Source organism: Homo sapiens, chromosome 14 (assembly GCF_000001405.40).
Source record: "Homo sapiens chromosome 14, GRCh38.p14 Primary Assembly".
Lineage (NCBI taxonomy): Eukaryota > Metazoa > Chordata > Mammalia > Primates > Hominidae > Homo > Homo sapiens.
This window is the reverse complement of record NC_000014.9, coordinates 78,889,429-78,913,389: the sequence shown is the minus strand read 5'-3', so window position 1 is coordinate 78,913,389 and position 23,961 is coordinate 78,889,429. Positions and strand designations below refer to the sequence as shown.

The window sequence follows — 23,961 nt, the reverse complement described above, 5'->3', positions numbered from 1 at the left end:
GAGAATCGCTTAAACCCGGGAGGTGGAGGTTGCAGTGGACTGAGATTGCGCCACTACACTCCAGCCTAGCAACACAGCAAGACTCTGTCTCAAAAAAAAAAAAAAAAAAAAAAAAGAAAGAAAGAAAGAAAGAAAGAAAGAAAAGAAAGGAAAAGAAAAAAGAAAAAAATCTTAGAGGTAACATCATCTATAATGTAAGGAAGCTGTAAAAATGGAATTGAGTTTCTCATTTTTGTGCTTACTTTCCGACCTGTACTTGTCTTTAGTAGATCTTATCAAGATTGTAACTGTATAATTAGTATCTTGTTTAGTGTTTGCCTTGCCTCTTAAAATGTATACTCTATTGAAGGAGAGATCATACCTGTCTTTTTCACTGCTATAGCTTAGGTATCTAGGGCATAGTAGGGGCTGAATAAATATTTGTTGAAGGAATAAACGAAGGAACAAGGAATGAATAAACACTAGAGACATCCAATAAAGTCAGTTTCTCACTTATATATAGATATGGACAGGGCCCTTTAATTCAAAAAACAAAAAACTTGGTTAGGTCCTTAATTTCCAGAAAAGGCTATAATCCTCCATGTATTCTCATTCATTTTCTAAAACAAATGGATCCAACAGCAAACCACTCAGAAACTCCAAGCACTTTCCAGATAATCTTACTTTGAATGGTCTGCTGCCCACATTTATTCAAAATCCCAGGTAAGCTATGTATTTATGGAGGATGTAAGAAGAATAAATGATCCTCCAAGTTCTATCTAACCTTTTGAACATACTATCTGCGTTTTCCATCCTTTACAGATTTTCTTTCCTTGAATCTCGTTTTAGTGTCATATTCTCAGCTTTTAGCAAAGGACAATATGAGCAGCAGTGACATGAAACTAAGCAGTTCATTGTAGGTCTGCTATAGGGGAAATTATATCACTGAATACTTCTTACAAAAAGGCCTATGGAGACATATAGTCTCAAGCTATACTGTGTTTCTCTTGAATAACTGGGATAGCTTTTTCTAACTGACAGTAAGAACTGATTGCTTCTCTATTCTTTTGTTAGCCACCAGGAAGCTTTAAAAAAAAATACCAATTTGTTCTGGGTATTTTTTTTAAAGCTTCCTGGTGGCTAATAAAAGAATAGAGATGAGTTCATGTCCTTTGTAGGGACATGGATGAAGCTGGAAACCATCATTCTCAGCAAACTATCGCAAGAACAAAAAACCAAACACCACATGTTCTCACTCATAGGTGGGAATTGAACAATGAGAACACATGGACACAGGAAGGGGAACATCACACACCGGGGACTGTTGTGGGATGGGGGGCAGGGGGAGGGATAGCATTAGGAGATATACCTAATGCTAAATGACGAGTTAATGGGTGCAGCACACCAACATGGCACATGTATACATATGTAACAAACCTGCACGTTGTGCACATGTACCCTAAAACTTAAAGTATAATAAAAAAAAAACCTGTACATAAGGAAAAAAACATACCAATTTGTGGCTCAACCAGGGGAACTGTGTGTGGTTCCTTAAGGCCTAAATATTTATCTCTCTCTCAGACCATCCTCCACCCTAGGGTCTTGTGTTTAACTCTTATTTTTCTCTAGATCACATTTTTTATTCTTACTTGTGTATCATACCATTATTTTAGTATGTGTTACTGTGGCAAGTTGCTGTAAACACTCTGGGAAGCAAGGTGAAATGTGAACATGCAGAAAATAACATGCTTTCAAATGACAGCAAAATAGGTTTGGTAAAACATATTTCTGCTGAAAATACTAATTAGTGCTTTACAGGAATGCCACATTGCCTATCCTGGCTTTTAATAAGTGTTTACTCCCTTTTCCACAGCAGCCTTATGTCCTCAGCTCTGTGGGTAGTGAACTCATTGACAATATGACTAAAATATAATAATTCTTGGTTCAGTAGTAACCAGAATAAAAAGTACTGGAATATCACAGAGGCTTGGTATTATTATGAGGCATCTTATCATGACTTGTATATAGATACAGACAAAACATCACAAAGTTTCAAGTCATACAAAGTTCAGAAAATTCCTCATGACACTGATGAATTATTCAGTTGATGATATCTGAAGGCCTGGGTTCAAATCCCAACTCTATAACTTACTAGCTGTGGGACTTTGCCCAATTACCAGCCCTCATTGTACCTCAGCTTTCTCATTTATAAAAATGGGAATAAAAATGTTATGTATTTCATAGGGTTGTTTTAAAAATTAAATGAGATTATATGTAAAAATTTATAAGTGCTTCATATGTAGCAAACACTCAATGCATGCATAATGTTATTGTTACCATAAAATTATCTTAATTAATATAAAGTCTAGCATTAAATTGAAAACAATATAGGAATACCAGAACTCTGAATGGAATATGAAAAGTCAAATTTATTGAGGATAAATTCAGGTTCTGGATTTAGTTTTCAAATATCCATTGCATTGATATGGGGTGGAGGAGAGCAAGTTAAAAAGAAAAAGTCATCTGAACATCTGAAACATGTTTGGAAGTTTTCATGGACCCAAAACATTTTTTCAACAAAGTTTCTGGTGCACTTGCTATATGCTAGGCACGATTCTGGTTGCTGTTAACATTGGTAAATGAGACTAAGGAGGCTCTGGTCTCACATGTGTTACATTTCAGCAGAGGGAGAAAGCTAATAATCAAGCAAATTAGTGAAGAATTTCAGATGGTGATAGGATCCATAAAGAAAATGAAATAAAGCCCAGGGCTAGAGAGTGACCAGGGCAAGGGCAGAACCAGCAGTCAGGGAGGCTTTTTTGAGGAATGACATTCAAGCTGCTAAAAGATTAGAGGTTGCCAGCCCTGTGACTATCTTGGGGGAAAATGCTCTAGGTGGGAAAAGCAGCAACTTTAAAGGCCCAGAAGTGATAACAAATAGTCATGATTTGGTTGTTAAAATAGCAACAAAAGTTAAGTTACAATGATAGCAGGGAAATATTCATGACAGAGGGCACACTATTGGCCAAGGAAGTGCTCTTCTTTGCAACCCTCCAAGATAGCCACCACTTATATCTGCACCCCACAAATGAGAAAAATTATATACAGAGGATATGTGACTTGCCCAAAGCTACATTGCCAGTGAGAGGTGGAGGCAGAGTATAAATCCAAGCAGTCAGGCTCTCGGTCACTGAGCTCTTTCTGCTATATCTACAATGGAAGTAAAAGTCCACACCACAGCATGGAAAGGCCCAGTGAACTCTCTCCTACAGCAAGAACAGTGGGTTTACTTTGGATAACATATTTCTAAAAGAACCAGAACATTAAAAAATAAGACAGGAATGGACAACAGTAAGAAAACTATCATACTAAGAATGACTCAAATATCTGAGTATAGTTAGCAATACGTAAAGAGAAGGCAAGAGGGAGATATAATCATTTTTCCAGGTGTTTAAACAAATTTATATGAATAAATGATTGGTAGGTAGGTGGATAGTAGATGCATGGGTGTGTAGACAGATTGACAGATAAATAGATAGATAAACAGACAGAGAAAAAGACAGATCTAAAAGCACTCCATGAACTTCATGGGCAAGTAGATAAAAATTAAAAATACACACTTTGTTCTCAACATAAGTTCCATCAAGTGCAAGACACTTTTGTCAGAGATGATACCAGCCATTTAGTCTATCCCTAAAGAATTGAGGGTCCTGGGAATTTAACCATATCAATGTAATCTCTTCTACATTATTAATTGAAAAAAATGGATTCCCTTTAAAGATTTTTTTAAGACAAGGAAACAATAAGAAGTCAGAAGAAGTCAAATCAGGATGGCAAGGTGAATGCTTAATAATTTGCCACCAAAACTCTCACATAATTGCCCTTGTTTGATGAGAAGAACAAGAAGGAACATTGTCATAATGAAAAAGATCTTGCTATTGAAGCTTTCTTGGGCATTTTTCTGCTAAAAATTTGGCTTTCTCAAAACACTGTACTAAATTAGCAGATGCTATTCTTATTTGGACGTTCAGAAAGTCAACAAGCAAAATGCCTTGAGCAGCCCAAAAAACTGTTGCAATGACCTTTGCTCTTGACCAGTCTGCTTTTGCTTTGATTGGACCACTTCCTGCTCTTGGTAGCCATTGCTTTGATTGTACTTTGTCTTCAGGATGGTACATGCTGGTAAAGCCATGTTTCATCTCCTGTCACAACTCTTCTAAGAAATGTTTTAGGATTTTGATCCCGCTTGTTTAAAATTTTCATTGAAAGTTCTGCTTTTGTCTGCAGCTGATCTAGGTACGACGGTTTTGGCACCCATCAACTAGAAAGTGTGCTCAACTTAAATTTTTCAGTAAGAATTGTGTAGGCTGAACCAGTTGAGATGTCTGTGGTGTTAGCTACTGTTTCCGCTGTTAATAACCTAGGCTTTTCAATTAGGAAATGAACAAGATGAATGTTTTCTTCACAAGTGGATGTGGATGGTCTGCCATAGTAGGCTTCATCTTTAAGATCTTCTTGTTCCTCCTTAAAATGAGTTTTCTACTTATAAACTGCTAATTTCTTTGGGGCATTGTCCCCATTCTTTTCATAAAGAATCAATGATCTCACCATTCTTCTACCCAAGCCTCACCATAAATTTGATGTTTGTTCTTGCTGCAATTTTAATAGAATTCATGTTGCTCTGATAGGGCCTCTATTCAAACCAATGTCTTATCCTTCTTAGTGTCTCAAACTAGATCCTGTTCAGACATGTTACAAGAAGTTAGTACAAGTTTATCTTGGTGAAATTTTTTTAAGTGATGCCCAGTTTTTTTCATAATGCACATTTTCCAGGAACTTTTTGAAGACCTCTCAGAAATGTGCAAATTTTTAAAATTATAATTCTGAAAGAAAAATTATAATTGCTATGAGAACAGATTTGACAGTAGATTCTGAAAAAGACTGGTGGGAGGAGGAAGTTCCAACAATCAGAAATACCTAACAATGGAAAAAGCTGACTGGTGAGACAGAAAGTTCCCCATAGCAAGATGAAGATAGGATCAGATGTATTTAAACCAAAGTATCATGACTGACTACTATGGGTTTGTAAAATAAACCTCTGAAAAGCTTGAAACATTGGACTAAATAAATTCAGGAGTCTCGTACAACTCTACACTACTTGTTTCTATAATGGGAAATAAATAAGAGGATTGAATTTAATCATAAATATTAGTAAAGATGTTAAGCCACAAAAAGTGTTAACAAAGACATGCTAGCAGCTGTTTGCATGTATGATGTTATTTCTTATCAAAAGACAGATGCACACTTACGTTCACTGCAGCACTGTTCACAATAACAAAGACATGGAATCAACCTAAATGTCCATCAATGATAGAATGGATAAGGAAAATGTGGTACATATACACCATGGAATACTATGCAGCCATAAAAAAAGAACAAGATCTTGTCTTTTGCAGGGACATGGGTGGAGCTGGAGGCCATTATCCTTAGCAAACTAATGCAGGAACAGAAAACCAAATACCACATGTTCTCTCTTATAAGTGGGAGTTAAATGATGAGAACGCATGGACACATAGAGGGGAAGAACACACACTGGGTCCTTTCAGAGGGTGGAGGGTGGGAGGAGGAAGAGAATCAGAAAAAATAATTAATGGGTATTAGGCTTAATATCTGGGTGATAAAATAATCGGTACAACAAACCCCCATGACACAAGTTTACCTACATAACAAACTTACACTTATGCCCCTGGACTTAAAAGTTAAAAAATATGTTCTTCTTATTATGTAGACATGGCCTACATTCTTAAGGTGTGTAATGTAGGCTTCTTTATCTTAAATATACTAACTGGAAAGCAGTCTGTAAGTAGTCACATTTTGAACTCTATGTGGAATGGGAAACATGCATACAAGTTGGAAAGTGTTCCTACAAAAATCCACTCTAGAAAATAGTAATGTTAAACATTTGTTAACATTACATAATTCAAAGCTCACATGATACTTAATTTCCCCTTTAGACTCTATCCCCACTCTGACCAGCTAGAAAACCGGTGTGATGGAGACAGAAAAGTGGCCATGTGACCTAAAGTCAAATTTGTTTCCTGGTGATATCTTGACGTGTTCAGGAGATACTATTCCAAAGCACCTCATATGTTTATGAAGAGCACCACACATGTTAAGAAGAATGTATAAGACCATGCAACAAAGCTGACTATAATGATAAGTAAGAAAACTAAATCCAAAATTTAATATGCAATCCAATTTCAATAGTAAATAAATAGAAAAAAATAATTAAAGAAACTGCCAATAATTATATGTGTTGAGACTCTGAAAGATATCTTCTACTTTTATGGGGTAGTTTCTTTGTCTGCCCAGCACTGTTTTCCCTACTTCGGTAACAGACAGGAGTCCTTGACTTTAAGGAGTGTATCTCAGCCCAGATTGAGCGAATTATTTTACCATATTCTGTTGGCTGCAGTTATTGCTCCAGAAATGAGCACATGCCCCAAGTCACAGTTAACAAAGCCCTTCCCTATTTTTCTAAAATAGAAAAGTTTTGGCAGAAAAAAAAAACCTTTTCTTTCCCTTCTGTTCATATGGCTATATGTAAGCCTGAATCTACCTAGGCCCCAGCTCCAGCCAAGTGGGAAAAGCAAGTATGAAAGAAGAAACCAAACAGAGAAAATGAATTCAAGTTTCCGAATCTGGTCTTTGAAACCAGCTCAATTTCCACCCTTTGTGCGGCAATTGCAATGGCCTTGCTTGCCTAGGATCAGGGAAAAAAAGATAACTGGAGACAATTCTTTCCCCAAAGAAATATTGTTTGGTAGAAAAGTTATGTCATGCCCATTCACACAGATTGGATGTGGGAGTGAAATAAGTGCCACAAAATAGTAATAAATGGTTAAGGGTGTTCAGAAAAGGGTCTGATTATTTCTAGGGATCAAGGCAAGTTGGTGGTGGAGATGATATTTGAGTGGTGTCAGGAAGGTGTGTAGACACAGAGAAAACTATTGGGAAGGGCAGTCTGGGTAGAAGAAATAACAGAGGAAGTAGATATGGGAAATCATGGGAAGAAAGTAGTGGTAGTTCATTCAGTCTAGTTGGAGTGCAGGGCACAGTGTAAAGAAAAATTCTGGAAAATAAAACTGGAAAATTTAAGTGAAGCAGAATGTAAATAGCCTTTGATGAATTTGCAGTTGATTCACTGAAATTATAATTATATAATATAATGGTGAAATCTCTGCTCCATTTTTACTAAGTATCATAAATCTTTTATCTAAGAGAAAATATGATTGTGCGATAATCAACTTTAACAGATTAGTCTAAATAATGACCAATGCACCAATTTTTATGGGTTAATTTTCTATCAATAACATTAAAAATGTGTTTTTAATTTTATTTAGCCATTCCCCTTATAGAACATAAATTATTCCAGTTTTAGCCACTGCCCTTAAACTTACAATTTTCTATTCCACCAAATCGTATGTTCTTTAATTTTGTTTATCTTGGTTTAAGTAACGATTTTGGTAATCCCCTAATACTGATTCTGAATATAATACTCACATAAACTCTATCCACTTTAGTTTTAGTATTTTCATGTATTCTCTAGAAACTCGACAGATTATGGATTATCTTTCAAATTGGGAAAATATTAATATGCTTTGTAGAAGAGTAACATAACATTTTTTATCATTTTATACATTATAAACCATCAAAATGATTACATTTTACCTTACCAAGATCAAACAGTTAGACTTTTATTCAAAAAAGCTATGACATTAGGTGCTGGGAAAGAAAATGAAAAATGTATTAGTTCTCCTTTGCAAATTGGTAAAATATTAATAGGCTTTGTAGAACAGCAACATTACAACTTTTATCATTTTATACATGATAAACTCTCAAAATGATTACATTTACCAAGATCAAACAGTTAGACTTTTATTCAAAAAAGTTATGATATCAGGTGCTGAGAAAGAAAATGAAAATGTATTAGTTATCCTTTGCAAAAACTAACTGTCCAGTTGGGATGACAAAGTATGTTCCTATAAAATATTCAAATAAAAATACAAAGAAAGAACATATGACTTAGGACCAGGGTGAATGGCGCAGTAAACAGGAAGAACTAAAGTGAAGGTAAATGGTCAAGATCAGGTCTTAAGAATATGATATTTTTGTGTAGGTGTGGAGTAGCTAGGGTGATCCTCTGTAGAACACAGGCTGGGCAAAGGAAAGGAGGCAGAAATAGGCACAGTACACTTCAGAGAATGCAAGGAGTTGGCTCAACTGAAGATGACAGGGTGCAGGCCAAATCCTGAAGAATATTAAACACAAGATGCAATCCACACTGAACTCAATGGCAGAAAGGCACTACAAAAGGATACATGGCCAAAGAGTTAGTTCAGGAGATTAACTGGGTGGTTGTGCAGGATCATGTTGAAAGAGGAAAATAATGGAGTCAGAAGATTAGCTGGAACATGATTACAGTAATACCACATGGTAGGTGAAAAAGACCTAGGTCAGCATTGTGGAAGGGAAAATAGGAATATACTATGAAAAGCCGTGTAGGGAAAGGTCATTCATATTCAGTAACTGATTGGAGACGAGGAAGTCAGGAGAACTATGGAAAAGAGAAGAGGAAATAAATCAGAGTTTCATTCCTGGCTAACGAAAAGAATAACAGTATCTAGGATAAAAAGGACAAAGCCACAGAGGGAGAAATTAGGAGCAACAGTTACTTTGAATTTACTGGAACGGTCAGCAAATCATTCAAATAAAAATGGCCTCCTGAGAGTTGAAAATAAGAAGCTAGAATTCGAGGGAGAGGTTGAGGTTCTCTCTAGAAATCATCTGTATTTGATTTTTGGAAATCATCTCTATAGAGTTAATAGTCAAAGCCATGAAAATAAATGACACTTAAAGAAATGCAACAGGCGGAAAACAGCAAAGGCTAAGGACTGGTTGGTGTATAAACTCAATTGTCATGAATTCTACCTGGCTTATTATCATAAAACAGGTCTTTTCAACCTCGGCATTATTGACATGTTGGGCTGGACAATTCTCAGTTGTGGTGACTGTCTTGTGTACTCTGAGATATTTAGCAGCATCCTTGGACTCTACCACTAGATGCCAGCAACACCCTCTCTCCCAGTTGTGACAATCAAAATGATGTCTTCTGATATTACCAAATATCCCAAGAAGAAAAATTGCCCCTGGTTGAGAACAACTGCCCTAAAAAATGGCCAGGCTCTGTAAACCAGACTGCCTGATTTTGAACCCAAGCCTGCCTTTTACTATCTGAATAATCTTGACATATCGCCTGATCTCTATGAGTCACAGTTTCATCTGCAAATAGACATAATTGTCCTAATGTCATACTGTGATGGTGAGGATAAGGTGTGACAGTGTGTGTAAAGTGCCTGGCCTCAAAGGAGTGTGCCGTAAATGTGAACTATTGATATACCCTATAAATGGGTAACATCACAAACACTTTGTCTCTCAATGGTCATTCCCTACACATTTACGTGTGCAGAGGCTCAATGACTACTAACAAAGCAAGAAACGCACTTCATTGCATAAACAGCACTTCATTTGAGGCATCATATAAAATTGGGCCACTGGACAAATTGCTCCCAGCATTGTATGTTCTTTTTACCTATTAGTCACATGTCACCAGGGTCCAAAAAGTCATATAAGTATGACACGAGTTTCTTCTTCTGTAAAGTCAATAATAAATAGTAATTTAGTTTAAGAGGAAAGACTAAAGTGTGTAATGATTTAAAAGGCAAAGTCCTAATAAAAAGCTACTTTTTCAGCGAGTTACAAATTTCTGTATCTCCTGAAAAATGTATTTAACTTTTGTTTCCTTTATTTCACCTCCATTCAGGAAATGGGAAGTATGCAATTTAACACATATGTCTTACGCACCTGCACCAAGTATTGTGCTAAGCTGGACTAGAAAGATGAAACTTCAGTCAGACGCAGTGGCTCACACCTGTAATCCAAGCACTTTGGGAGACTGAGGCAGGCAGATCCCTTGAGCCCAAGAGTTTGAGACCAGCCTGGGCAATGTGGCGAAACCCTATCTCTACAAAGAAAATAACCAGCTGTGGTGGCATGAGCCTATAGTCCCAACTACTCAGGAGACTGAGGCGGGAGGATCTCTTGAGCCCAGGACATCAAGGCTGCAGTGAGCTATAATCACACCACTGCAATCCAACCTGGGTGAAAGATCAAGACTCTGTCTCAGAAAAAAAAAAAAAAAAAGAAGATGAAACTTCATTGTTTATTTCCTCAGAACATAGGTAGGGAGAAGAGAAAGGGAATGACCAAGGCAATGTAAGAGCTCAGTACAAAGTGGAAACTTGTGGAGAGCAGGAGTTGAGGGAAATCACGGCCAAGCTTCACAGAGAGAATAACATTTTATCTGAAATGAAAGAATTACCTTGAAAAGGATGAGATTTGCAGGAGGATAAGAGGCAGTACATATGTTCCAGACAGAGGGAACTATGGTGTGCACAGTCACAGATCCATGAGCAACATAGTTACATATTATACATATATATATAATATTTAATATATGTATTTCCTGAATATAACTATGTTATATTTAGGTAATTGTAATCATTTAGTATTTCCAGAGCATAAAATTCAAGGTGGGCAGCTGTAGGGTTGGCTCTGGACTCAGTTAGACAAGGATAGATCTTTAAGAGCCTTGTACATCAGGCTAAAGTATTAAATTTCATCCTATAGTCAATGGGAAACATTAAATAATTTGGACTTCGTTGTTCATATATTTAGATCAAGAAAAAATGTTTTAGAATTAGGGGCTAATCTTTATTTATAACTTCTCCTCCTCCCCTTCCTCCTCCTTCATCTCCTTTTATTCCTCCTCTGCTTTTATTTCTCCTCAAGCACTCTACTACTTTGAATCTTTCCAAGAAAACATTAAATGACATTTGAAAATACCTTATTTTAAAATAGCTTCATAAAATGCACTTTATAATCTAATACTGTTATCACAGATAATTTGAAATCAAACAAATATGAAAAACAAATACATAAGTGGTGACCAAACACATCCCAGGTTAAAACATAAATTAGAAATAAGGTCTTAAAGTCAAATATAGAAACTATTCCTTTCATGGAGTAATTTGGCCACAGAAAGTGAGGCGTGTCTATATGTTGCCATCAGGGGGCGCTCGGATGTGAGATTCTGCACAAGGCCTCATTGAGATGCCTGTGCCAGAAAACAGAATTCTTTTGCAAATCCCTTTGCTCACTTGTCTATTTCGATCAAAATACTTCAGTCTCACAGAAATAATTTAGCTGATGCCAAAGTCTATTTACCACACTACAAGGTAGATCGGTACTGATGCCTGGCCTTCATGCTGGAATCAAACTCTCAGTCCCTATTTCCAGCCCCCTTGCATACCCGACAACCTTCAAATAGGTTTCAAGTAAGATGGATTGCTGGCTCAGCCTGCCGTTTCTCCTCCATCCTGAATATTTGAGAGAAGAAAGGAAAAAGATGAAGCAACAGAGTAAGAAAGGAAATTCTTGCTCAGACTTTTAAAACTTGCTGAGGATTCAGAAATTAACTGGAGCTAAGAGGCACCCCAGGACAGTCAGACATGGTTACAAGTAACTCGAACCCAGACAGAGGAGGCAGCCTGTGCCCCATCTGGCCCACCTTGAAGCTGGGTCTGAAGCAAGGAAGGAAAGTGACCAGGAGCTTCCTTACCTGTCATTAACACAATTAATTTGTTTGGCATGTGAGGTATTATAGAAGGGGACATGAAATTCTGAATTATCATCAAATATAAAAATAACAGCAGAATGAACTGCAGTTGACAATAACTTTGATAGAGATCATATCATTAAGTCTCAAAATGATTATGTTTTACCCAGGTCACATACTTATAGACTTTTATTTCATAAGCTATGACATCAGAAAGATGTCTGATGTCATGGTGGAAAGAAATGAAAAATTCCTAAGTTCTCCCTTGAAAACACTGTCTAGTTGGGGTAATACATACATGTAAAATATTAAAAGAGAAATACAAAGGGAAAGCAGGTGAGTTAGAGCCAAGATATGTGATAGAGAAAAAAGAAAGAATAAAAGACAATTTAAATGGTCCAGGAAATCATGAGGTTGGATCCATAGAGATGGACACATGGAAAAAAAAATGGTTCAAGAAATACAGAGAAAATTAGATACAAATCCCCCATCAAGGGTTACCTGAGCCTGAGATGGGGAATGAATTGATGAATAAGGCATTTTAAAGGTATCATGAGCAGAAGCAGATAGAAAAAAATATTTTTATGTCATTTGTTTTTGCTGGGAGGTAGGTGAGAAAAGGGATGGAATATTATTTCTAGCTTATAGGGAAAAGAGCTAGGGCTTTTGATGTGACCAGACTGAACATCCTCATTCAGCCCACATGCCCTAGTGATGTTGGGCGAGTCATTTGATGTCCTTGGACTTGTGTATCTGTCAAATGGGCTCATCAAACCTAGCAGGCTGACTTATTTTGAGGAATAATGAGATGATTTATGAAGAGACCCTAGTAAGAGCAAGCATTCAATATGCAGTACAGTTCAATCAATTTATTACAGTGATGTCAAGAATAGATAATTTTACCCTTCTCTTTCTCAGCCCTTCTCCCTACTCCCTGGACTAATCCAAACTTGAGGACATGGTATTTTTATTTTTAGTTCTCAGGAAATCTTTATTTAAAGTGAAGGGCATCTGTAAGGTATGAAAACATTGATAATACTATTTTATTTTTTACAGATTTGTAAAAATTTTAATGACATTACATATATTTGTCTGCATCCCAGACTTTATGGACACCCTTCAGAAGAAGAGAGAGAAAAGGATTTCCAGGCATGTCATGTTTTAAGTTCAAAATTTGAGGCCCCAACTTGGCACCAAACGTAGTAATGATAGATAGTGAAAAAAAAAAAAGAAAAAAAATGAAGGAGGTTGCTGCCTTCAAAACAAGACCAACCTCTCCACAAATGAGAAACAGGACCTAAACAGGACCTGAAGCCACAAACTCACTAGGCTTAGAAGCTGCTAAAGGCTCCAAAGGCCAAATTCCCAGGGGCTTCAAACGCAGGCATTTTGGTCCTGAGATGCCAGCCACAAGCTAAGGGCCCTCTTTAGGTGTCAGTTTACTCATCTATAACAATAGAAAAAAAAATAGAACCCACTGTTTGGGGTGTTGTGATTTTTTAAAAAATGGTGTCAGAACATTTGTAGAACTAAAAATGGAAATGGGCATAGATGGGTTCAAAAATGTTAGTGTCAGTCATTGTAGTTTCTTTGGATGGAGAAAGATTATATATCTCATCAATTAAGTTGGGGAAAACCAAAGTGAAAATAGAAAATGCCAATTATTGAGGAAACAGTGTTCCTAGGTCAGATTCCTATAGCTTTTTGAAGACCAGAAGGAAGAGAAAAAAAAGGTCTGAACACAAGAAAATTTTAGAGGAAAGCTCCACGTTATCTCATCAGAGGAATATCACATCTTTAAAAATGAAAAAGAGAGTTAAAGTTATATAGTTCTAAGTCAGGGTAGAAAAGAATTTGAGGTATTTTCATTCAAATATAAACTTCAAGAAGTAGTACTTTTATAGAAACATTTAAGAGATTTTTTTTAAGTTCACAAAAATGTTTGTACTGAGCAGAATACATTTATATAACATGCAAAATGGTATGTGTCAGCTAAAAGTTTCTTCCTTTTTCTCATGAATGTGAACATTTTGCATTTATTCTGTAAAGAATGTATATTAGCTTAAAATGACAGGTATTCATAATAACCCTTAAGTTCCCAATGCTTAAAAGGTTGCAAATCTCACTAAGAAGAATATTGATGGGGCAAGAATATTGGGGCACTGATCATCCCTGGCAACCATACACACAAAACAACAAAATCTAGTGGGTATCTACTCTGTGCCCACGTGGCAGAAGCCAGGTTTCCCATCTCATAATGGGACGCAGAGGTGAGTAAAATCTTCTCAGGTGAAACTATCTACAGCATCAGGAGGAACAAATTCTTGGGCTTAGGATTGGAGAAAACCAGAACACAAGGCTCCCAATCATATGTGATAGATTCTATTTCATGTCTTGAATTTTTGGGGGAGGGCAAACCCTTGTGAAGTGTTTTCCTTTGTTTTTAGCTCCCTCCCTCTCCTCCCTCTTCTTTTTCTCTCTTCCTGTTTTCCCAAAGCAGAGGATTAGATAAACTAATACAAAGGGATAATTGTTTTCCTATGTGTCTCCAATTCTGCTTCATTCTATCTATGCAGACTGTATTTCCTAGAGAAAAGAGTCCCACTGCTTTTCTCTGGCTCAGAGCTGAGAAATTATGCTTACAGGCAGAATGTGTTCTTCAGTCAAAGCCAGGGTTCTGACCAGCCAGTCTGCTCTTTCTCTCTCTCCCAAGAAGCATGATGGAACCCAGAGCGTGAGGCTACTATGAACCTATTCTAATTTTTAACAATCATTTTATTTTGTAAAATCATTTGTGCTATAATGCTCCACAATTTTTTTCAATATGATGGTTGAGAATGCCTATGCTAGACCAAGATGTTCCCTAAAACTCTAGGATAAATGAATAGGCCAAGTATTTAAGTTTCTTATATAATTATCAAGCATTCCAGTTATTTCCAATCAAGATAATTTGCTTAAAAGATAGATGGGCAAAGTAAATAACTTGTTATAAACAAAAAGTAGAGATGGAATATAGAGAGGAGGAAAATACTATGAATCTATGGAATATAACCGACAGCTTGATATATCAGACACACACACACACACACACACACACACACACACACACACACACACACGAAACCCAGCTGTGCTCTGGAAAGCACCACTTAAGAAACTTATGCATCTCTGCTTAATGTAAATGGTTCCTGTCTCCTTTCTTTTCTCATTCTTGTGCTTTGAAGATGAAATTCAAGAAATCCAACACAATTCGTATCATCACTGTACCTGGGGAGTTCCCATTGCTGGAGTTGTAAGTTCTCTGTGGAAATTTAACCACATTTCAGTCATCCTTCAAAGTCCTTGTTTAAAATAGATTTTAAAAGGCTAGATATTAAAACACCCAATGAATTCTCTCAGTTAATAGTCCCCAGTCCTGAACAAGGGGTACCAATTAGCTTGGGAGCTCTCCGGAAGTTTAACTTCTATGGACTTAATAAATATATCACCAACATTTTCCTTTGCCATGCTGACTCCATTTAGAAATCCTGTGATTATTCCAGCTATTATTACTAGATTTATTAAAAAAGAAGGAAGGGAGAAGAGGTGCTCATTTTCAGTATTTTTGCATATTAGGGAGGCATAGATTTTACATGAGATTTCCTGGTCACATTGCTACATAAAAGTAAGGCAGAATACGTTCTCTAACATCAAAACTGACAAAACTACATGATGTGAGATAAATGCCATGATGTTTCAGTGAGTTACCCATGTAAAAATTATTTTCAAAAGATTGCTAAGCATAAATTAATAAGGTATATGCCATCCATGGAAGGCCAAGGAAGCCCTGATGATGAAACAAAACCAAGCAAGGAATTTATACATGTGAAATAATTCTGGATTAATTATGTTTTCCTCTTTTCACCCCAATCTGAAACTAGTGAATAATTTATAGGTGCAAGAAAGGAAGCTCCCTACGCATTACTTGGGATAAATGTGTAATGCTTGAGAACTGGGTGCTGGCCAGGACAGAGTGGAGGTGGAGGAGTCTGTGAAAATAGAAATAGGACTGCCAAAAACGTTTGAGAAGTGCCATGGCCAGAGTCCATCAAGATCCTGTCACTCCCAGTGTCACCCCATTCTGTGCCTCACTGGACATCTTATCCAACATTTCTCCAAAGTGGCCTTTCTCATAACTGTAGCTTTGTCCTCTGAATCAATTCTAGGGATAAGCTTTTCCTGATGTTTTTCAATGTCTCTCCCCTGAAGAACAGGATGTGGTCCAGAGAACCACTCTCTGATTATTTTCACATTGGTCTTGTCAAAAAAAAAGAAAGAAAAAAAAAGCAATATCTCCTACTGTTACTGTGATGTCTTAACAGAAATATGCATTTTTTCATTCATTCAAATATTTGTGACATGCAAGATGCTGCTCTATAAGCATCTTTGTTTCCAATGATCGCCCATTACAATCTTGGATGGCCCATCACGGCACAAACAAACACTTTATGAAACACTTTATTAAAGTGAATCCTGACATCGGTAAAATTTCTGTAAAAAGTCATATATCAAATATTTTCAGCTTGTAGGCAGTCTCTGTCACCACTATTCAATGCTGCCATTGTAGCATGAAAGCAGCCACAGACAATACATAAGTGAATGAGTATGACTGTATTTAAATAAAACTTTCTTTACAAGATCAGACAATGGGATGGATTTGGTCCACAAATCATAGTTTGCCAAACTCTGCTCAAAGCCATGAATGGTTACCCACTGCTTACCAAATTGAATCCCCTGTCACCAATTCTGCCCAATTTACTTTTCTAACTATGTTCTACCATTTCCCGTCATCTCCATTCCCTCTGAATGCTAACAAATACTCCATGTATTATTCTATTTCTATGCTGTTTGCTCTGCCCATAATGTTCCTCTCCTCTTTCCAACTTATTGATAAACATTCAATTTTTCATTCTTCCTTTAGGTGGCTTCCATAGATTTTTAGCAAGTGGAATTAGGCTCTCTCTTCTCTTTCTACCAATGCATTTTGCCTCTCTATAAAAGCTCCTATTACCCTCTGCCATGTGAAATATATAATGTTGATCTCTCTTCTCCCTCAATTCTCAACCAATCTCTGGAAGCTAGTAATCAGATCTCCATTTTCCTTTGTTAACTTCACAGCCTTCAACATGAAACCCTAGGCATCATTGTGGAGCTGAATATACTAGGACGCATTCAAGATAGTGTCTGTGCTTGAATTATTGGAATCATAAAATACGTAATAGTAATCACCATGTTTAACTAATTCTATTATTATTATATTATTTTACAAGATGGAAGAGATAAGCTTCTTATGCTGAAATAAAAAATATGTTTTACTTTCCCTAGTGGACATCAAATGCCCTGTTCAGAGCTTATATAATTTCATATTAGTTTAAAATGATTTTACTAGGCAATGCCATGCAATCAACTCTATTTAAAAGCCTCTTCAAAGAATAGGAGAGAAACCTATCACAAGCATACCTAGTTTTTTTGTGCTTCACTTTTTTGCATTTTACAACAATTGCATTTTTAAAAACAAATTGATGGTTTGGGGCAACCGTTGGTTGAGCAAGTCAATCCACACCATTTTTCTAACTGCATGTGCCTGATTCATGTCACTACATCACATTTTGGTAATTCTCTCAACACGTAAAACTTTTTCATTATTATTATATCTGAGATGGTGATCTTTGATGAGTGATCTTTGATGTCATTATTGTAATTCTTTGAAGGCAACACAAATCATGTCCATATAAGATGGCCAACTTAATAAATGTTGTGTGTCTTCTGACCGCTCAACTTACTGGCCATTCTCACATTTTTCTTCCTCTCCTTGGGCCTCCCTATTCCCTGAGACACAATAATATAGAAATTAGGCCAATTAATACTCCCACAAAGGCCTAAGTATTCAAATGAAAGGAAGAGTCTCATATCTCTAACTTCAAATCAAAAGCTAGAAATGATTAAGCTCAGTGAGGCATGTTGAAAACTGAGATAGGCTGAGATCTAGGCTTCTTGTGCCAAACAGTTAACCTAGTTGTGAATGCAAAGGAAAAGTTCTTGAAGGAAATTAAAAGTGCTACTCCAGTGAACACACAGATGATAAGAAAGTTAAACAAGCTTATTGCTTATATGGAGAAAGTTGTAGTGGTCTGGATTGAAGATCAAACCAGCCACAACATTCCCTTAAGCCAAAGCCTAACCCAGAGCAAGGCCCAAACTATTTCCAATTCTATGAAGGCTAAGAGAGGTGAGGAAGATGCAGAAAAAAGTTTAAAGCTAGAAGATATTGGTTCATGAGGTTTAAGGAGAGAAATCATCTCTATAACATAAAAGCACAAGGTAAAGCGGCAAGTGCTTATGTAGACGCTGCAGCAAGTTATCCGTTACATCCAGCTAAGATAATTGATGAAGGTGACTACACCAAGCAAGAGATTTTTACTGTAGATGAAACAGCTTTATATAGGAAAAAGATGCCACCTAGGACCTTTATAGCTACAGAGGAGACATCAATACCTGACTTCAAAGGGCGGGCTGACTATATTGTTGGGGGCTAAGGCAGCTGGTGACTTTAAGTTGAAGCCAATGCTTATATACCATTCAAAAAATCCTAGGGCCCCAGAATTTAGCAAAATCTACTCTGCCTGTGCTCTGTAAATGGAACAACAAAGCCTGGATGACAGTACATCTATTTACAAAATGGTTTACTGAATACTTTAAGCCTACTATTGAGAACTACTGCTAAGGAAAAAAAAAAGATTTTTTTTTTTTTCAAAATGTTACTATTCATTGACAATGCACCTAGTCACTCCAGAACTTTGATGGGAGTACAAGAAGATTAATGTGGCTTTCATGTCTGCTAACGTAACATCCATTCTCTAGCCCATGAATCAAGGAATAATTTCAACTTTCAAGTCTTATTATTTAAAAAATACACTTTGTAAGGCTAGAACTGACATGGTGATTCCTCTGATAGATATGGATAAAGCAAATGGAAAATTTTTTGAAAATGATTTAACATTGTAAATGCCATAAAGAACATTCGTGATTCATGGGAGAAGTTTGAAATATCAACATTAACAGGAGTTTGGAAAAGATTCCAATCTTCATGGATGGCTGAAGGGTTCAAAACATCAGTGGAGAAAGTAGATGCAGATGTGGTGGAAGTAGCAAGAGAACTAGAACTAGAGGTAGAAACTGAAGCTGTGACTGAATTGCTGCCATCTCATGATAAAACTGGAATGGATTTTAAGAGTTGCTTCTATAGATGAGCAAAGAAAGTAGTTTCTTAAAATGGAATTTTCTCCTGGTAAAGATGCTGTGAACATTGTTGAAATGACTACAAAGGATTTAGAATATTCCATAAATTCAGTTGATAAAGCACCTGCAAGTTTTGAGTGAATTCATTCTAATTTTGAAAGAAGTTCTACTGTGGGTAAAATGCTATCAAACAGCATCGTATGCTACAAAGATATCTTTCATAAAAGCAAGAGTTAATTGATAAAGCAAACTTCATTGTTGTCTTATTTTAGGAAATTGCTACAGCCACCCTAACCTCCTTCAGCAACCACTACCCTGATCAGTGAGCAGCCGTCAATATCAAGGCAAGACCCTTCACAAGTAAGAAGATTATGACCCACTGTATGCTCAGATTATCATCAGCAATTTTTAGCAACACAATACTTATAATTAGGGTATGTACATTTTATTTTAGACATCATTCTATTGCATACTTAATAGACTATAGAGTAAAAATAACTTTTATATGCACTGGGAAACCAAACAATTTATATGCTTGCTTTATTGTGGTATCTGCTTTATTGTGGTGGTCTGGAACTGCACCCACAATATCTCTAAGGTATGTTTTTATCTGGACACTTTATACTAGACTGAATAAAGGACTTCTAAATTTCTCAGCTAAGTAAATTCGCACCCTCAAAAAATCCAAAATTGAGAAAAATAAAAATGTGTAACAAAGATCCTGGAGTGTTAGATGAGACATGCTCAAGAAGGCTTAATGGTTTTACTATTAATTCTGCAATTCCATTAGGATGTGGGGAAGATAAATGAGATTGTTTCATTAGGGTCTAGTGGAGCCTTCCAGCAAATAAGCTAAATGATTATCAGTACTTCTGGTCTTCACGACTCAATCCCTCCCCAGTTTGAACATTATAAATCACAGTGACTTTACCAATTGACTTTCACCTTCTTCAACCAACAGGAGATTCGGCATGGACTCTCCCACCACCATTATGAAAGATACAGAGAGAGATTAGTCAATAGAAGGAGAACAAGCTGGCTGAACCAAAGATTGACTAAAGATCAGAGCAATGAAAGAGAAAAGAGGAGGAATTTTTTAAAGGAATAAACCAACTCATCCACCTGCTCTTGCAAAGCAGGGAATCAATTATGCCAACAAAGGGAGGCACAATGAAAATTGCAGAGAGAAAGCCCATGAATGAATGAGCTTGCGCAGGGTGTGGATAGATTGAAATATACAGGCTGACCCAGGGGAAGAGAAAGATGACGCAAGTGGATGGCAAAGAAAAGGAAGGTGGGTGGCCAAGCAGGTGCCCACAATGCTGGGCAAATAGGAGCAATCAGGGGTAGGGACAGAATTATTTCCCTTCCAGAGAACTCCCTTTTGATGCTGAACTAGTTGAGACGCTGGAATTAGTATCAGAAGAGGCCACCTGCACCACTTCAGAGCACAGTCATCCTTCTGATTGCTACATAACAAAGAATGCACTAGCAAGCAGCAACATTTTTTCTTTGTTTTTATGCAGCTTCCTAAAGCCCAGCTGAATTCAAAAGCAGCCGTGTGACTCCTTCTTAGCAAACACCACACACACACACACACACACACACACACACACACACAGAAGATGGGGGCATTACCGAGTTGTTGAAATTAAGTTGCCTGCTGTGTCAGAATAGTCAAGAAAGAGCAGAGATAACATGATTCCAGCCATAACCTATAGATAATTCTTAATGGTGAAGTGATTTTAATGAGGAAGAAAAGACTGATTTACAACCATCAAGTTCTGTTAATATGAACTCAGTACAAGTGCTGAATTACATTCACTGGGTAAGAAAAAAAAAAAAGGAAGGTAGTTTTGATCACACTTCTTCCCCACTCAGAAACCTTCAATGACTGCCAATGTCTTTCAGAACAATGTCTAAACTCACAAGCGTGTTGCTCAGGGATTTCCACTGCCTGATTTTAATCTGGGTTTTCATCCATGGGCAGCCTATCTGCCAACTCAAACGAGCTAAGTTGACTTCCTCTCTTCTCTTTGACTTTATTTCCCTTCTCTGTTTCTATCAGCCAAAATCTACCTGTTCTCCAAGACTCTGCTCAAATACAATCTCTTTCTTCAAGCCTTCTCAGATGTCTCCACGTGAAAGTAATATTTAGCATCCTTTAGCACATTAAAGCGTTCCTGTGCCCAGTGGTTCTGAAATTTTAACGTGCATCAGAGTTCCCTGGAGGACTTTTACAACCATAAATTGCTAGACCCCCAGCCACAGTTTCTCATTTAGCAGGTGTATGGTGGGGCACAAGCATTTCCATTTCTAACAAGTCCCCAAGTGATGCCAACACTGCCGAGCCAGAGACCACACTTTGAGAGCTGCCACCAGAACAAGACTGAGCATGTCTCACTTCCCCTTATAAAGCTTCTTGGGAACAGAAAAGAATTCTGTCTTTGTATTTCCATAACTCTTCAGCCCAAGTTTATATTCAGTAGATACTCAACAAATATTTATCAAATTAAATGTGTGTGCGCCTATTGCTTCATGTATGTTTGTGTATATACATTCATATTCATTTAACAAATATTTATTGCAGACGCATACATTTGAAAAATGCATGTGTATGGTAAGAATATTTAAAGTTTAAGCAGGTTTCTTAATCATCTCACATTTGGCAAGCTAAAGGAAAATATGAATATGCTATGATCCATTTTTCAAATGTGTTCTGCAGAAGAGCACTATTAAAATTCAATAGGAAGCTTTATTTGAAGAGTGTCCATCTGTGTTCATTTGTGGTGAATATAATGAATCTCTCACTCTGTCTGAATTGTCAGTTAACCCATGTAATATATTGCCTCAGCTTCAAGACAGGGAAGCGTGGGAATTTTATTTCTCATGTCATGGATGTACAGTGAGCTCCCTGACGTCACTGTAGACGTTACTCACACCTAAATACTCACTAAGTCTCCAGTATACCACCCATACCTATCAGTAATGCATAAAAACACAGACGCTATAGTCATCATGCCAGAGTTCAGATTCTGGCTCTGCTCACTACTAGAGCATGACCTCAGACAAATTGCTTATCTTCTCTAAGTTTTAGTTACTTCATTAGTAAAATATGGACAATAATTACAGCTTCCTGATTGTTATAAATACTGAAGGAGTAAATACATTGAGAAGGCTTACTTGGCCCAACCAAGAAGCTGCCACTGGTGCACTATTGTATCAATATTGGACAGACGTGGCACCCTCCCAGAAAGATCACACCATCCTGTCTTATGTGGGCTTAGAAGTCTTATTCCACCCAGTTACCATCTGAAGTCACCACCAACTAAGCCAGACAAAATTAACAAATGTAACTGTTAATATTGTAAACTTTTATGGTACTTAAAAATTACCTATACTACTTATTACCGTTGGTGCCTTACTTTTAGCATATTTTGGGAGCAAAATGGTATGATGGCAGCATTTTGATTAGGGAGACGAAGGCTGCTTCAGTGGCTTCTGTTATTGAATGATTGCTAACACCACTCAAATCCATCCCACAGCCAGAAACTCATTTTGCCCCCAAACACCTTAACCCATGACACTGAAATTATGAATGCCTGAAGATAATTCTGGTTTTTCAACTTGTGAAACTAGATACCACTTCTTCCAAATTCCTTGATTTACTCTATCACCATCAGTGGGATCTATAGGATTGGACCTTCCCTTTTGTTATTACAATATTATTACTTATGTTTGTAACTGGAAAATGTCAAGTTTATAACCATTTACTACTAGATAAGAAAAGAAGAGGCTATAGAAATGCAGACCTCCTTTCTGCTTGTAATTTTAGTGATGTTGTAGCCCAGTGTGGGCAGGAAGATATATTTCCTCTGCTGGGAGAACATTGGTCCATGAGAAATTGGCATTTGTTTCATGAAATGGCCACCTACAGTTAAACCTTTGCATGGGATGTTAGAGTAAAATTAAAATTACAGGACACAATGTGTGCTTAGATTATTTATATTATTATAAACATAACTGACACATACCAGGCAATGATATTTTCATAATTCAGTGCTTCTGGACTGACTGTATAGTAACAATCACACTTTCAATAAGAGGTGTTTTTTATACTAAATTTCCACAAACTTCTGATGCTCTTGTATAATTCATGTATTTTGTAGATTATCCTGTTCCTTGTTGTATTCGTTTCTCATGGCTGCCATTAAAAAATTACCACAAACTCACTGGCTTAAAACAACAGAAATTTTTTTCTCTCTCAGTTTTAAAGGCCAGAGTCGGAGATCCAAATGCTGACAGGGTCACACTCCTTCTGAAGGCTTTAGGCAACAATCCAATTCTTACCTCTTCCAATTTCTGCTGCCTATGGGCATTCTTTCTGGTTATATCCCTCCAATCTCTGCCTCTGTCTTCACATGGCCTTCTGTTTCACAAGTCTCTACGTCTTCTCCTCATCTGTCTCTTACAAAGATAGTTTTCACTGGATTTAGGGCCCACCTGTACAATCCAGGATGATCTCATCACAAGATTATTAACTTAAACATCTGCAAAGACCCTTTTTCCAAGTAAGGTCACGTCACAGGTTCTGGGAACACATGTTTTTAGGGGACACCTATCTACCTCCCACACTTGCAGTAAACAAATGTGGTATGTGTGTTTTACCTCCCTGCTGCTGTACTGCAGAATCCTTGAGGCCAGAGCTTTGTCTTCTGTATTAATGATTCTACCAGGTACTCAGTGCTCAGTACTCAGAGTACCAGCTCTTATCAGGTACTCTTTAAATTTGTGTTGAGTAAGTAAATGTACATATAATTTTAGAACATTATTGCAATGTCTACATTGTAACAGCAAGTACTAAAAAATATTCAGAAAACTGAGAGGTAGCCATTCCCAAAATCATGAAAGGAGCTAGCCACAGATAATATCAAAATCAGGGATGCAGTTGGTGAAGTAAAGCAATC

The 23,961-nt window shown here is 37.0% G+C and overlaps 1 protein-coding gene across 52 annotated transcripts in view, besides 2 other annotated features; it reads right to left on the bottom strand.

Moving 5' to 3' along the window:
• NRXN3 (neurexin 3) overlaps positions 1–23,961 on the bottom strand; it is a 1,697,919-nt gene that overhangs the window by 954,902 nt on the left and 719,056 nt on the right. The window lies entirely within an intron of this gene.
• Positions 19,650–20,232: an enhancer, noted in NCBI's record as "OCT4-NANOG-H3K27ac hESC enhancer chr14:79359501-79360083 (GRCh37/hg19 assembly coordinates)". NCBI's record gives its function as "activates a minimal SCP1, AML or CMV promoter by ChIP-STARR-seq in primed H9 embryonic stem cells {active_cell/tissue: H9 hESC(primed)}" and the evidence as "EXISTENCE:reporter gene assay evidence [ECO:0000049][PMID:30033119]".
• Positions 20,233–20,816: an enhancer, noted in NCBI's record as "OCT4-NANOG-H3K27ac hESC enhancer chr14:79358917-79359500 (GRCh37/hg19 assembly coordinates)". NCBI's record gives its function as "activates a minimal SCP1, AML or CMV promoter by ChIP-STARR-seq in primed H9 embryonic stem cells {active_cell/tissue: H9 hESC(primed)}" and the evidence as "EXISTENCE:reporter gene assay evidence [ECO:0000049][PMID:30033119]".